This window comes from Homo sapiens, chromosome 22 (assembly GCF_000001405.40).
Source record: "Homo sapiens chromosome 22, GRCh38.p14 Primary Assembly".
Lineage (NCBI taxonomy): Eukaryota > Metazoa > Chordata > Mammalia > Primates > Hominidae > Homo > Homo sapiens.
In genome coordinates this window covers 31706144-31721542 of record NC_000022.11, presented here as the reverse complement: position 1 = coordinate 31721542, position 15399 = coordinate 31706144, and the positions used below count along the sequence as shown (strand labels likewise).

The 15399-nt window shown below is 44.9% G+C and overlaps 1 protein-coding gene across 1 annotated transcript in view; it reads left to right on the top strand.

The window, feature by feature from the left end:
* PRR14L (proline rich 14 like) overlaps positions 1-15399 on the top strand; it is a 68786-nt gene that overhangs the window by 28590 nt on the left and 24797 nt on the right. The window contains exon 4 of the mRNA NM_173566.3: positions 4252-9460. Coding sequence (NP_775837.2) covers positions 4252-9460 — 5209 coding nt within the window. The remainder of the gene's footprint in view (positions 1-4251; positions 9461-15399) is intronic.

The window sequence follows — 15399 nt, the reverse complement described above, 5'->3', positions numbered from 1 at the left end:
AGGCCAGACTGCAGTGGCACTATCTCAGCTCACTGCAAACTCCGCCTCCCGGGTTCACGCCATTCTCCTGCCTCAGTCTCCCGAGTAGCTGGGACTACAGGCGTCTGCCACCATGCCCGGCTAATTTTTTGTATTTTTAGTTGAGACAGGGTTTCACCATGTTAGCCAGGATGGTCTCGATCTCCTGACCAGATTGAACCTTTTAAAAGGACTTTTGTTGTAATAACCAGAAGGAGCCTTTAATTGGTAGGATGCACTTTTGCCTATCATTCCTTATTTCTTGATTGCTGTAGGGCAGACACATGAGAAGTGGACCTGGGGGAGCAGTGGTGGGAGTGTTTGAGTTGACTGGCCATCTCACAGGGGAGATCTTCCCCATCATGGGAGATCTTCCCCATCAGGCACTCTTGCTGGTTCCTCACCCTTTCGGCTGTCCTGACTTTTAATATGCCTCTTTCAACATAATTTTCTGTTTAGTTAATTTTACAAAACTGATGTTATCAAGTTTATTTGTTTTATCTTGTTTTTCAGAGAGTTCCCTATAACTGGGCTTGTCTGGGAAGTTTATGTGTAAGAAAGGTGAAATGGTATCAGGAACAATGGCAATATTAGTTCCTACTCATTATTGTGAGACTTAATTCCCACAGTAGTGATTTCCATGAAGACTTATTTAGGAGGGTCACCAGAAATTGGAAGAGCATTCAGGAAATATATTTTGAGGAAGAGGTGAAAGTAGTCAAGGAGGGAAAATCTACCTTATATAATTTGGAGAACTGGATGTTTATTTTTATTTTATTTTATTTATTTTGAGATGGGTTCTCACTGTGTCGCCCAGGCTGCAGTGCAGTGGCACGATCTTGGCTCACTGCAACCTTCGCTTCCGGGGCTCAAGCGATTGTCCTGCCTCAGCTTCCCAAGTAGCTGGGATTACAGGTGCCTGCCACCGTGCACGGCTGATTTTTTTGTATTTTTAGTAGAGATAAGGTTTCACCATGTTGGCCAGGCTGGTCTTGAACTCCTGATCTCAAGTGATGTGCCCACCTCTGCCTCCCAAAGTGCTGGGATTACAGGTGTGAGCCACCACGCCCAGCTGTGTATTTACAAATTCTTGAATAGGGTAGCACCGTCTGCTGTAATAGGGAAAGCAGGCTAATTTCACAATGATAAGTATTGTGTGTTGAATCAGGATTTTGAGGCTGCCTTTTGTAAATGATTGGTATCTGAAAACCTGTGGCTTGCAGTATATAGTTGTTAATCTAATATTTGCTGACTCCAAACATTTTAAAACGCTGTGTCTAGCCTAGTTATTCTATTTTAACTGTTCTCAGGTCCAGTAAAATAAAAAAACAGAGCAAAAGAAAGGCACCTTTTATATAGCAGGCACTGTCCCACATGACATCTTACATGCATTATTTAATTTAATCCTCAGTATAGCACTGAGGTAATTGTACTTTCCCCACCTTTTACAATAAAAGAAACCAAGGCTTAGAGGTAAGTATCACAGAGCTGCAGGGCACAGTGAGTCACACCCATAATCCCAGCACTTTGAGAGGCTGAGGCGGGAGGATTGCTTGAGCTCAGGTGTTCAAGGTCAGCCTGGGCAACATAAATAACCTTGTTTCTACAAAAAGTACAAAAATTAGCCGGACATGGTGGCGTGTGCCTACAGTCCCAGCTCCTTGGGAGGCGGAGGTGAGAGGATCACTTGAGCCCAGGAGTTGGAGGCTGCAGTGAGCCATGATGGCACCACTGCACTCCAGCCTAGGCAACAAAGCGAGACCCTGTCTCAAAAAAAAAAAAAAAGTGTCACAGAGCCATGATTGAAGCTTAGCTGGTCTGGCTTCACAGTCAGGGCTCTTTCTCACAGTAATTGCTGCTCTCAGGACCTATTGAGAAATGGATAGGGAAGCCCTAGAAACTTGGTATTAATAACATTTGTTTATTTGACCTAACTATATTCGTTCATTAATTTTGTGAATATTTATTAAGTGCTCTTGTGCTTTTATATACCAGGCATTATGCTGAACTATAAGGAAGAGAACAAAACAAGATCCTTACCCTCACAGAGTTTACATTCTAGTAAGAATTAGATTTTAGATTTTTTGTTCTTTTTTTTTTTTCTTTTTTTTGAGACAAGGTCGCTTACTCTGTTACCCAGGCTGGAGTGCAGTAGTGCAATCACAGCTTATTGCAGCCTTGACGTCCTGGGCTCAAGCATCCTCCTGCCTCAGCCTCCCAAGTAGCTGGGATTAAAGGCACACACCACCATGCTCAGCTGATTTTTTTTTTTCTTTTAAATTTTTTGTAGAGACAGAGTCTCCTTGTGTTGCCCAGGCTGGTTCAAACTTCTGGGCTCAAGCATTCCTTCTGCCTCAGCCTCCCAAAGTGCTGGGGTCACCATTGTGAGGTACTGCATCAAACTCAGGAATTAGATTGTTTTGTTTTGTTTTGTTTTGTTCTTTGTTTTTTGAGACAGAGTCTTGCTCTGTCACCCAGGCTAGAGTGTAGTGGCATGATCTTGGCTCACTGCAACCTCCGCCTCCTGGATTCAAGCGATTCCCCTGCTTCAGCCTCCCCAGTAGCTGGGATTACAGGCATGTGCCACCATGCCCAGCTAATTTTTGTATTTTCGGTAGAGATGGGTTTTTGTCATGTTGGCCAGGCTAGTCTTGAACTCCTGACCTCGTGTGATCCATCCACCTCGGCCTCCCAAAATGCTGGGATTACAGGCATGAGCCACCATGCCTGGCCGATCTTTAAATAGATTTGCATTTTGCTTTTTCTGTTTAATACAGTTGTCCTGTTTTTTATATATATATATAAAATCATGTGTACATATACCCATGTTCATGTGTATAGTGTGCTAGTCAGGGTTCTCTTAGGGGAACAGAACTAATAGGAGATCACCTGAGGTCGAGAGTTTGAGACCAGCCTGGCCAACATGGTGAAACCCCGTCTCTAGTAAAAATACAAAAAAATTAGCTGGGCAGGCCGGGCGTGGTGGCTCACGCCTGTAATCCCAGCACTTTGGAAGGCCAAGGTGGGCGGATCATGAGGTCAGGAGATCAAGACCATCCTAACATGGTGAAACCCTGTCTGTACTAAAAATACAAAAAGAAATTAGCCAGGTGTGGTGGTGGGCGTCTGTAGTCCCAGCTACTCGGGAGGCTGAGGCAGGAGAATGGCATGAACCCGGGAGGCGGAGGTTGCAGTGAGCCGAGATTGCGCCACTGCACTCCAGCCTGGGCGACAAAGCAAGACTCTGTCTCAAAACAAAAACAAAAACAAAAACCCCCCCAAAAAATTAGCTGGGCGGGCCGGGCGTGGTGGCTTATGCCTGTAGTCTCAGCACTTTGGGAGGCCGAGGCAGGCGGGTCACCTGAGGTCAGGAGTTCGAGACCAGCCTGGCCAACATGGTGAAACTCCGTCTCTACTAAAACTACAAAAATTAGGCGGGCATGGTGGCGGGTGCCTGTAATCCCAGCTACTCAGGAGGCTGAAGCAGGAGAATTGCTTGAACCCAGGAAGTGGAGGTTGCAGTGAGCCAATATCGTGCCACTGCACTCCAGCCTGGGCGACAAGAGCAAGACTCCATCTCAAAAAAAAAAAAAAAAAATTAGCTGGGGGTGGTTGCAGGCACCTAGAATCCCAGCTACTCAGGAGGCTGAGGCGGGAAAATTGCTTGAGCTGAGAGGTGGAGGTTGCAGTGAACTGAGATCGCACTACTGTACTCCAGCATGGGCAACAGAGCAAGACTCTGTCTGAAAAAAATAAATAGGTAAATAAATAAATAAAGTTTTAGGTATAGTTGTTTTTTTCCAAGGACTAATTTTATCGATGACATCTAATTTCAAGTACTGAGAACATGGTCATCTAGTAAAATAAGCTGTTATTGTGAGTCTGCTTTATTAATGTTTTAAAATGAAAGCCTCTTAAGACTGAATGAGAATACAACATAGGAACATATTTCTATGTTGTATTCAGTTGTCCAGCATTGATCTGTGAACTCTGTATTAAACTTTCAGCAAGAGGCATTTGTTGAAAATTACGTTTCTGCCAGATATAGTTTTGGCCCTCTGTTATATTTTCAGAGAAGAACAAAATCAATGGTATAGCATGCTAACTTTCCAGTTTTCTTTTTGAGTTGGGTCTTCTGTTGCCCTTGGTAGCATAGCATAATAAAATGCATGAAGGTAGACCAAGTGATTTTTTATTACTGCATATTAATTTGGATTTATTTCTCTTATTCAGAAGGAAATGTACAGATTACAGCTGAAACTCTGCTAAAATCCGCCGAAGTACAAGGTATGAAGGTCAATGGGACTAAGACGGATAATAATGAAGGACACAAAAATGGCAATGTGAGTAAAGATCTCTCAGCTGGATGCGGTGAATTCCAAGAAGTAGACAAAATCATGACCAGTGATGAGGTTTCAGAAACCAGCACATTAGTTACCCCAGAACCTTTAACCTTTGTGGACCCTGTATTAACAGAAGCAACTCCTAAAGAAAAAGAATGTGAAGAATTAAAAAGTTGTCCTTGGTTGTCATTACCAGGAAACAGTGCCATTTCTAATGTGGACAATGGGAAGGAAGAGTTGTGTAAACCAAACCTGGTCTGTGAAGCAGATGACAATCACCAACAGCTTCATGGCCACCATAATGAACAACCCAGTTCTACACATGATAGTCCCACAGCCACAAGCCCTTTGAAAGAAAATTCTGAAGTTTCATGTTTCACATCAGACTTGTCTGGTCCAGAATCCAGAACAATATCCTTAGAAAACTGTGGTTTTGAAGGTGGTGGTTTGCTAAAGAGATCTGCTGAAAAGACAGACAGTTCTTATTTTTATAGGGGGGATGATCAAGGGAAGAACTTGGCTTCTAGAGAAGAAAATGAGGAACGGCTTTTGATTCCTAGGAGTGAAAGAGGTGGACCTTTTCTTTTTAATGCCAGGGAACCAGAAAAGGAGATTAGTGGTCGTTGTTCTGGTGAAAAAGAGCCTGTTGTTTCTCCAAAGGAAAATATCCACAATAACTGCATTCAAGACAGTCTCCATACAGGGAACTCTAGTTCTTTAATGCCCAATTCTTTTACTGAAGCCACAGAAGTAATGTTAAATAAAAATGATTTGAAAATTACTGTACACGTTCAAGGTAACTTGACAAACCCTGAGGACCATAAAGAAACTTTTACTAATATGAGCCATCCTGGTGGACACTCTGAAGAAAGCAGTTTTTCCTCCTTGATGCAGATTGAAGAGGCAGGACAGACAACCCCTGTAGAGCCCAATATATTAAGTAAATCTTTTTACACTAAAGACTGTAACTCCTTAGTCAGCATCCAGAGAAATCTGGAAGGCAACACCCAGTTAAATGAAGCATCATGTAATGATTTTCTGTTTGAAAGAAAATCCATTGTGAGTTTAATGCCAGAGGATCAAATAAGTCCTGTAAGTGAGGTATTAAAACCCAAGCAAGGTACTGCTCTGTTGCTACCATCCCCAGAATTTGATTACAGACCTGAGTCAGAAAAAGTTATACAGACCTCACATGATGATATTCCACTTTTAGATGAACAGAGCATAGCCTGTGAGATGAATGAACTTTCTTGTACCAATGAACTGGTTGTAAACAAAGTAGAAAGTGAATGTGTTTTAAATCAACAAGTGTCCCTTAATTCTCAAGAACATGCAAATTTGCCAACTGACTCTCTACTGCATTTAAACAAAGAGATGCCTTTAGCAACAGGCAGAGATGCCCATCAGAGCCATCACCCTCCATTAGAGGGTAGAGCAGATGTCATTGCTGATATACAAACCATTCCCATTCAGACAAAAATAAAAGACATCTCTCCACCAGGTAACCAAACCTGTGGTGCCTCTTCAAACTGTCCCACCTTAAACATCAAACCAGTAAGCCTAGAGAGAAAAAAGGAAATGGCTGATTCAGGAACAAAAGCTCTACATTCCAGGCTGCGCTCAAATAAGAGAGAAGCAGCTGGCTTTCCTCAAGTGGTCTCTGTCATAGAATGTCACAGCGTTCAATCTCAGGATATCTCTAGCTGTCATCGTGTAAGAAAAAATGTATCCCAGGAAAACATGTGTTCTGCTTCTGCTGCTTTCAAGTCCAGCAAAATCAGCCTGCAAGTTGATAACTCTTTGATAACAAAATATGAAAATGCATTTCAGCACCGTGATCACTGCTGCCAAGGAACAGGACACTCTGTGGAAAAAAGCAGCTGTAAAGTGAGTTACACATCACAGGAAAGGGAACTTGATGGGAAAGAAACGAATGGCAGCCTTCCAGGAGATAAGATCAGAAACAAAATGGTAGCAGGCTTGTTAAATAGTGGAATTTCAAACAAAACCATTCACACCTCCAGTAGCATCAAACTCAGTGAGGAAGGGCTGGAAGGAAAGGAGCAGGATGTATCCAAAGAAACTGTATTTTGTAAGTATAACATCTCTGATCATGCTATACAAGAACTAAACCAGACTGTAAACATTCCAGGTCCTGAAAAAGTGTTGGACCAGTCTCCTACTGTTATGTTCTCCAGTTTTAAAAATGTAAAATCAGTTGAAACACTCGATCAGAAGGCAGATGAAGTCCTTGACTGTCAGAGTAACCAAAACAGACCAGATGAATGCAAAAGTGAAGGTCAGTCAGCCAAGGAGATGCTAAGTAGTGACCAGAGAGAGACTGTCACCGAGCCTCACGGGGAGGTAAACCACAACCAAAAGGATCTGCTGGTCAGCTCAGGCAGTAATAACTCACTACCTTGTGGTAGTCCAAAGAAATGCAATTTGAAAGGAGCCTTTGTCAAGATGTCTGGTTGTGATGAGTCCACAGAAGGTATGGTAGACATCGTCTACACGGACTGTAGTAATAAGCTTGCAGAAGGTGTGCTGGACGTGAAGGCATCTAATCTACTGGATTGTGGTGCAAGGCAAGAGAAACTGGCATTTCAAGAGGACTCCAGGAGTACCTTGTCTCGGAGAGAACTGGATGCTGCACATACAGGAACAACTGGTCAGGATTCAGATTTCCCAGTTACTGCTGCTTCTACAGTGGACTTTCTCAAAATAAAAAAATCATGTGAAGAAAACGTATGCAGATCTTTAAAAGACTGTGAAATGGAAAAGTGTCCAGACTCTTGTGCCCATGAGATGGAGTCTGTTGCAGATCATGAACCAAATAAAAGAATATTGGGCAGAGTAAATTTGTCTTTAAATGATAGCCATTATGGACAGCAAGATAAAGGAACATCTCTCAGAGAAACACAAGAAATGACTGAAGGATCAAGACTAGAACCAAACTCTGAGTTTGGCAAAGAAAGTACCTTTGGAATTTCCTCAAAAGAGTCGATGTCTTGCCATGATGAAAGCTCTGTTTCCCTAAGAAGCCTGAAATCCATTGAAATAATGCCTTCTCAAGAAAATTCAGAAACTAATGTTAACAGTGAAGAAACTGACCTGAAAAATCTTTGTAAACCAAAAGATGGTGAAATGCTTTGTGAAAATGTAAAGGACTGCACAGTCCTTCCTGAGATGAAGGAAATAGTATCAAGAGATTGGAGTAATTCTAGTGACAGAGACAGCGTATGTACCTGTGTGGAAAAGAATGCTTGCAAAGCTTGTCACCCTCACGAGAATTCCTCTGACAGACATTTGCCTTTGACAGTGAAAACAGATATTAAAGTGAAAGGAGAAGAAACCGAAGAGCATCAGAGGGGACGACTGGGTTACTTAACTGTTGGGGAGCAATCTGAGGAGTTGGTTACCAGAGAAACTGGCGATGGCGATCCCGTGAGCAACATCTCTCAGACCCATTTTAAATGCCGGGGGATACTTAATCATGCTGAAAAACAGCAGAGCCCTGAGGTTTTGGACTACATGTTGCAGAAAGAAGAGAAATATATACGTCAACAAAAAGCACATACGATATCGCAACAGTGCATATCATCTAGTCTGTTGTTAGATGATGCACAAAATCAGAACCAACCGAAGGCTGACAAAGATGAGTCCACCATGATCAATGAAATCACCCTAGCAAAGCTGGCCAAGGACAGCATTGTGGCACAGACTCAGAAGTTAGAAGACCAGAAGGAGGAAAGGTTACATCATCCATTAAGGAAGGACACTGAGTCATGCACAAGTCCTTGCCTTCTTGGTGCCCCTCGGAAAGCACAAGACCCCTCCTCTGCTGGGTGTGATCAAATACATGGTGCCTTTGCGAAGAAAGGAGTTCTTCCCTTAAAGAAGCAGCCCCATCGAACTTGTAAGAAAGTTTCCTATCAGGAGCAAATCATTGTTGGGAGAAAAATAGGTAAAATCAGAAGTTCTGCCTTTTTAAAGAGTTCTTCCAATCCCATCCCCACAAAAGCGCACAGACTTCTCAGTTTGTGTACTCTGTCTGCACCTACACGATTAGAACCTGAAACAGCACCTACCAAGAGCTTGGTTAGTCACATACCAAAGCAGATGTCTACACCGTGCCATCCCTTGAGGAGCCTGAATTTTAGGAAGACTACCAAAGAATCAGCCTTACTAAACAAGCTGTCCATCCTTGCCTCCAAACTGGCCCCAGCCATGAAGACTCAGAAGCTAAGATACCGACGGTGTTCCTCTGAACTTCTTCCAATGGCTAAAAGCTACAAGCGCCTCAGATATAAAAGACTCCTGGACGGATTTTCATCCAGCACAGAGCAGCTGAATCCATATTTGGCAGCTAGTGGATGGGATAAGAGGCCTAACAGTAAGCCCATGGCACTTTATTCTCTCGAATCCATCAAGATGACCTTCATAGATTTGAGCAACAAGATGCCGTCCCTGCTGTTTGGTTCTGAAATCTTCCCAGTATCCTTTCATGTGAAATCATCCAGCTCAGATTGCACGACTGAGTCCTCAAGGACTTTTCCTGAGCACTGTGCTCCGGCAAGGCTTGCCTTAGGAGAGGCCCTCCAGTGCCCGTCTCAACCTCCCAAGTGGACCTTTTCTTTCTTCTTGTCCCACGGTTGCCCTGGGATGGCAACATTCAGGGAAGACACTGGCGTCCATAGTCAGACCCACACTCAGGCTCCTCCCCAGCCTCCAGCTCCTCTCCAAGACTATGGAGGCACTGCCATAGTCCAGACCAGAGCAGACTGCTCTGTCCTTGGCCTTCACACACTTCTAGCACTTTGTTCCCCAGGATGTTACCGAATCTGGACAAAAAAACGGAGCTTCTCCAGCCACATGCCTACCATGCAGAGGCTCTTCATGACCCAGTTTACACAGGGCCTGAAAGGGTTACGGTCTCCAGCCTCCATAGCAGACAAGGTCTTCTGTTCTCTGCCCTACTCGGTGGGCAGAGTCCTATCCATTTGGAGCCAGCATGGTCCTTCTGTCTGCTCCTTCGAAATCTCTTCTCTTCATTCCCCTCACTGCAAGCGGCAACCAAGTCTGGGCACCACAAGCAGGTAAAATCTGTCCCCTGTTCTTTACAAATGTCCCATATTTGCTTCCTGTCTCTGGGGAGATGAGAGGGGAACTGCGGGAAATGCAAGGCTATTTAGAGTCCTCTTGGGTCTGCATTTTCTATTTACCTTGCGAAATCTCTGCTGAGAAAAATCCAATAGTAATTCTTAAGCATAGGACCCCCACCCCCTGCTCAGTTTTCCTGTAGAACCTACTTCTGTATTTCACACCATTCTTTTTTCTGTCCATTTCATTCTTCAAACCATCAAATCTGTTGAATCTTCTTTTTTTTTTTTTTTTTTTTTTTTGATTAACTCTTCTTGCCCAGGCTGGAGTGCAGTGGTGCAATGTCGGCTTACCGCAACCTCCGCCTCCCGGGTTCAAGCGATTCTCCTCCTTCAGCCTCCTGAGTAGCTGGGATTACAGGCATGCGCCACCACACCCGGCTAAGTTTTTGTATTTTTTAGTAGAGACGGGGGTTTCTCCATGTTGGTCAGGCTGGTCTTGAACTCCTGACCTCAGGTGATCCACCTGCCTCGGCCTCCCAAAGTGCTAGGATTGCATGCATAAGCCAACCAGGCTGCTTTTATTTATTTGTTTATTTATTTATTTTTTGAAACAGTCTCATTCTTGTCACCCACGCTGGAATGCAGTGGCGCAATCTCGGCTGACCACAACTTCTGCCTCCCGGATTCAAGCGGTTCTCCTGCCTTAGCCTCCCGAGTAGCTGGGATTACAGGCACGTGTCACCATGCCTGGCTAATTTTTGTATTTTTAGTAGAGACGGTTTCACCATGTTGGCCAGGCTGGTCTTGAACTCCTGGCGTCCGGTGATCCTCTCACCTTGGCTCCCAAATTGCTGAGATTACAGGCGGTAGCCACCACACCCAGCTGAATCTTCTTTTCTACTCTTGCGCCCATCTTGCAGAAAACAAACACCCATTACAAGTGAAAAACTATAAATAGTAACACACAATCGCTTGTAACATTATCTCCTTCACAAAGCACTAAACAGCCAGCACCTAACTCTGATATGTAGAGAACACAGAATAAATATATTTTTAGTTAATGAATAAATTACACAGGTATCACCAGATATGGTTTATGAACCCCTGCCTTTTGGCAATGTAGAGGCTTCAAAAATTGGCATTTACATACTTCAGCTTTAGGGTTTATAGAACTTAAAGTGAACTGGGAAGGAGTTCTTGGGGTGTGATCACTGAGAATAGTTGGAAATAATTTCGTCAATATCATTGTACCTTCTAATTGAAAATAAGAGAAGAAAAAGAATTTGAGAGTTAAACTACTCATCTCAAGAATCCCTAAAGAGTGGCCAGGTATGGTGGCTTACACCTATAATCCCAGCGCTTTGGGAGGCCGAGACAGGTGGATCACGAGGTCAGGAGATCGAGACCATCCTGGCTAACACCGTGAAACCCCGTTTCTACTAAAAATACAAAAAAAATTAGCCGGGCATAGTGGCGGGTGCCTGTAGTCCCAGCTACTCGGGAGGCTGAGGCAGGAGAATGGCATGAACCCGGGAGGCAGAACTTGCAGTGAGCCGAGATCACGCCACGGCACTCCAGCCTGGGCGACAGAGTGAGACTCTGTCTCAAAAAAAAAAAGAATCCCTAAAGAGCTGCTATACACATGATAGATAAACTCTCCTCTTTGTAATTATTTAAGTAAACAAAATATTTTTTAATTTGCCCTTACTATTGCTGTATTTGACAAATTAGACATCAAATAAAAAGCCTTAATATTCCAAATAGCTTAGGAGGGCCTTGTTCATTGTGTGTCTCTAATGTAGAATCATTGTGTGTCAGTAAAGTGGACTGGTTCAGGCGGGACGCAGTGGCTCATGCCTGTAAGCCTAGCACTTCGGGAGGCCAAGGCAGGTGGATCTCTTTAGTCCAGGAGTTTGAGACCAGCCTGGGAAACATGGCATAACGTTGTCTCTGCTAAAAAATACAAAAATTAGTCAGGCATAGTGGTGTATGCCTGTAGTCCCAGCTACTCAAAAGGCTGAGATGGGAAGATTGCTTGAACCCAGGAGGCAGAGGTTGCAGTGAGCCAGGATCACACCACTACACTCTAGCCTAGGCAACAGAGCTAGACCCTGTCTCCAAAATGTTTAATTAAAAAAACAACAGGCTGGCTACGGTGGCTCATGCCTGTAGTCCCAGCACTTTGGGAGGCTGAGGCAGGCAGATCACGAGGTCAAGAGATCGAGACCATCCTGGAAGCTGGGCACCGTGGCTCGTGCCTGTAATCCTAGCACTTTGGGAGGCTGCGGCCGGCAGATCACCTGAGGTCAGGAGTTCGAGACCAGCCTGGCCAACATGGGGAAACCCTGTCCCTACTAAAAATACAAAAATTAGCTGGGCATGGTGGCACACACCTGTAGTCCCAGCTACTTGGGAAGCTGAGGCAGGAGAATCGCTTGAATCCAGGAGGCAGAGGTTGCAGTGACCCGAGATCGTGCCACTGCACTCCAGCCTGTCAACAGAGCAAGACTCCGTCTCAAAAAAAAAAAAAAAAAAAAAAAAAACCCCACAGGCGTCTGGGTGCAGTAGCTCACGTGTGTAATCCCAGCACTTTGGGAGGCCGAGGCGGGCCTGACCGACGTGGTGAAGCCCTCTCTCTACTACAAATACAAAAAAATTTTAGCTGGGTGTAGTGGCTTATGCCTGTAATTCCAGCTACTCAGAGGCTGAGTCAGGAGGATCCCTTGAACCTGGGAGGCCGGGGTTGCAGTGAGCCAAGATCGTGCCATCGCACTCTAGCCTGGGCAACAGAGCGGGATTCTGTCTCCAAAAAAAAAAAAAAACAACAACAAATAGGCCAGGTGTGGTGGCGCATGCTTGTAATCCCAGCACTTTGGGAGGCCAAGGCAGGTGGGTCACTTGAGGCCAGGAGTTCAAGACCAGCCTGGGCAACCTAGAGAAATAAATCCCATGTCAGCTGGGCACAGTGGCTCATGCCTAAAATCCCAGCACTTTGGGAGGCCAAGGCGGGCAGATCAGCTGAGGTCAGGAGTTCGAGACCAGCCTGACCAACGTGGAGAAACCCCATCTCTACTAAAAATACAAAATTAGCCGGGTGTGGTGCACACCTGTAATCCCAGTTACTCGGGAGGCTGAGGCAGGAGAATCACTTAAACCCAGGAGTTGGAGGTTGTGCTGAGCCGAGATTGCACCATTGCACTCCAGCCTAGGCAACAAGAGTGAAACTCCGTCTCAAAAAATAAAAAATAAAAAAATAAATCCCATCTCTACTAAAAATACAAAAATTAGCCAGATGTAGTGGTGCATGCCCATAATCCCAGCTACTCAGAGGCTGAGGCACAAGAATCAGCAGAGGTTGCACTGAGCCGAGATCGTGCCACTATATTCCAGCCTGGACGGCAAAGTGAGACTCTGTCTCAAGAAAATTTCAACAGCAACAAGACTGCTGGTGGCCAGGCATGGTGGCTCATGCCTGTATTCCCAGCGCTTTGGGAGGCCAAGGCGGGCGAATCATCTGAGGTCAGGAATTCAGGACCAGCCTAGCCAACATGGTGAAACCTCGTCTCTACTAAAAACAGGAAAATTAGCTGGGTATGGTGGTTCATGCTTGTAATCCCAGCTACTCAGGAGGCTGAGGCAGGAGAATTGCTTGAACCCAGGAGGCAGAGGTTAGGGTGAGCCAAGATCGCACCACTGCACTCCAGCCTGGGCGACAGAGTGAGACTCTGTCTCAAAAATAAATAAATAAACAACAAACCTGCTGGTTTGTATTGTGTAGTTCCCTGAGCATCTTAGCAGAAAACTGAATGAATAGAAGAGTGTCAGAAAAAAAACCCAGAACATGAACATTGCTGACTAGAATTGAAAGATGAATTGCTGTTACAAGTACATGTCCTACAGTTTTTGTTTTTGTTGTTTTTTTTTCCTGAGATGGAGTTTCACTCTTGTTGCCCAGGCTGGAGTGCAGTGGTGCAATCTCAGCTCACCGCAACCTCTGCCTCCCAGGTTCAAGCGATTCTCCCACTCCAGCCTCCTGAGTAGCTGGGATTGCAGGCATGCACCACCACATCCAGCTAATTTTGTATTTTTAGTAGAGATGGGATTTCTGCATGTTGGTCAGGCTGGCCTTGAACTCCTGACCTCAGGTGATCTGCCTGCCCCAGCCTCCTAAAGTGCTGGGATTACTGGCGTAAGCCACCGCGCCCGGCCTTTAGAGTTATTTTTAAAAGTTCTCTTATTATAAAGACAGCCATGAAAATACGTTAGAGTGATTCACATTGTTTTAAATGCTGGTGTACTGCTTTTATTGTCTACTTTGTTGATATGCCTCTAAAATCTCATAATTGCTCTGCTATGTGTTTAGGGCACACAGCTTTAAATTGTGTTACTTCCGGCCAGGTGCAGTGGCTCACGCCTGTAATCCCAGCACTTTAGGAGGCTGAGTCAGGTGGATCACAAGGTCAGGAAATTGAGACCATCCTGGCTAACATGGTGAAACGCCATCTCTACTAAAAATAAAAATACAAAAATTAGCTGGGCTTAGTGGCACATGCCTATAGTCCCAGCTACTCGGGAGGCTGAGGCAGGAGAATCGCTTGAACCTGGGAAGTGGAGGTTGCAGTGAGCCGAGATCACGCCACTGCACTCCAGCCTGGGCGACAGAGCGAGTCTCCGTCTCCCAAAAAAAATAGGTTGTGCCACTTCCTCCAAACTGTTTGTTCCTGAGGTTAGGATAGATGGTAGTTACTCATTTCACCCTGTGGAGGTGTAACCCTTTTGCCCCTTTTCGTCTTCGAGAGCTCTTTCTTTCCCACCTCATGTTTCTGTTTCCTGGTGTTGAAAATTTTCTGTTTCCCTCCCTATTTCTAGCTTTTTATTTTATTTTACTTTATTTAAATTCAAATGGAAGGTAGAGGGGGTGGTATTTGTAGATACTTTTCATTGGCTCTAAAAATACCTTAACATCATGTGCCTGGGCTTAGAGTTTAGAAGTTTGCTGTTTTTCTTTTCTTTCTTCTTTTTTTTTTGAGACAGAGTTTCACTCTTGTCTCCCAAGCTGGAGTGCAGTGGCGCGATCTCAGCTCACTGCAACCTCCACCTCCCGGGTTCAAGCGATTCTCCTGCCTCAGCCTCCTGAATAGCTGGGATTACAGGCATGTACCACCACGCCTGGCTAATTTTGTATTTTTAGTAGAGACAGGATTTCACCAGGTTGGCCAGGCTGGTCTCAAACTCTTGACCTCAGGTGATCCACCCACCTCAGCCTCCCAGAGTACTGGAATTATAGGCGCGAGCCACCATGCCTGGCCAGAAGTTTGCTGTTTTTCTAAACAAGCTTACAAATGGTTTCTAGCAGGCCGGGCACTGTGGCTCATGCCTATAATCCCAACACTTTGGGAGACTGAGGTAGGCAGACCACAAGGTCAGGAGTTCGAGACCAGCCTGGCCAATATGGTGAAACCCCGTGTCTACTAAGAATACAAAAATTAACCCGGCATCCTGGCAGGTGGCTGTAGTCCCAGCTACTCGGAGGCTGAGGCAGGAGAATTCCTTGAACCCACAAGGTAGAGGTTGCAGTGAGATGAGATCGCGCCACTGCACTCCAGCCTGGGTGACAAAGTGAGACTCCGTCTCAAAAAAAAGAAAAAGGAAGAGTTTAATTATAAAGGAATTAAACTTTTAATAGTTTTCTCCTTTTTTTTTTTTTTTTTTGTGAGATAGAGTCTTGCTCTGTCGCCCAGGCTGGAGTGCAGTGGTGTGATCTCGGCTCACTGCAGCCTCTGCCTCCTGGGTTCAAGCAGTTCTCCTGCCTCACCCTCCCGGGTTCAAGCAATTCTCCTGCCTCACCCTCCCAAGTAGCTGGGATTGCAGGCATGTGCCATCATGCCTAGCTAGTTTTTGTATTTTTGTAGAGACAGGGTTTCATCGTGTTG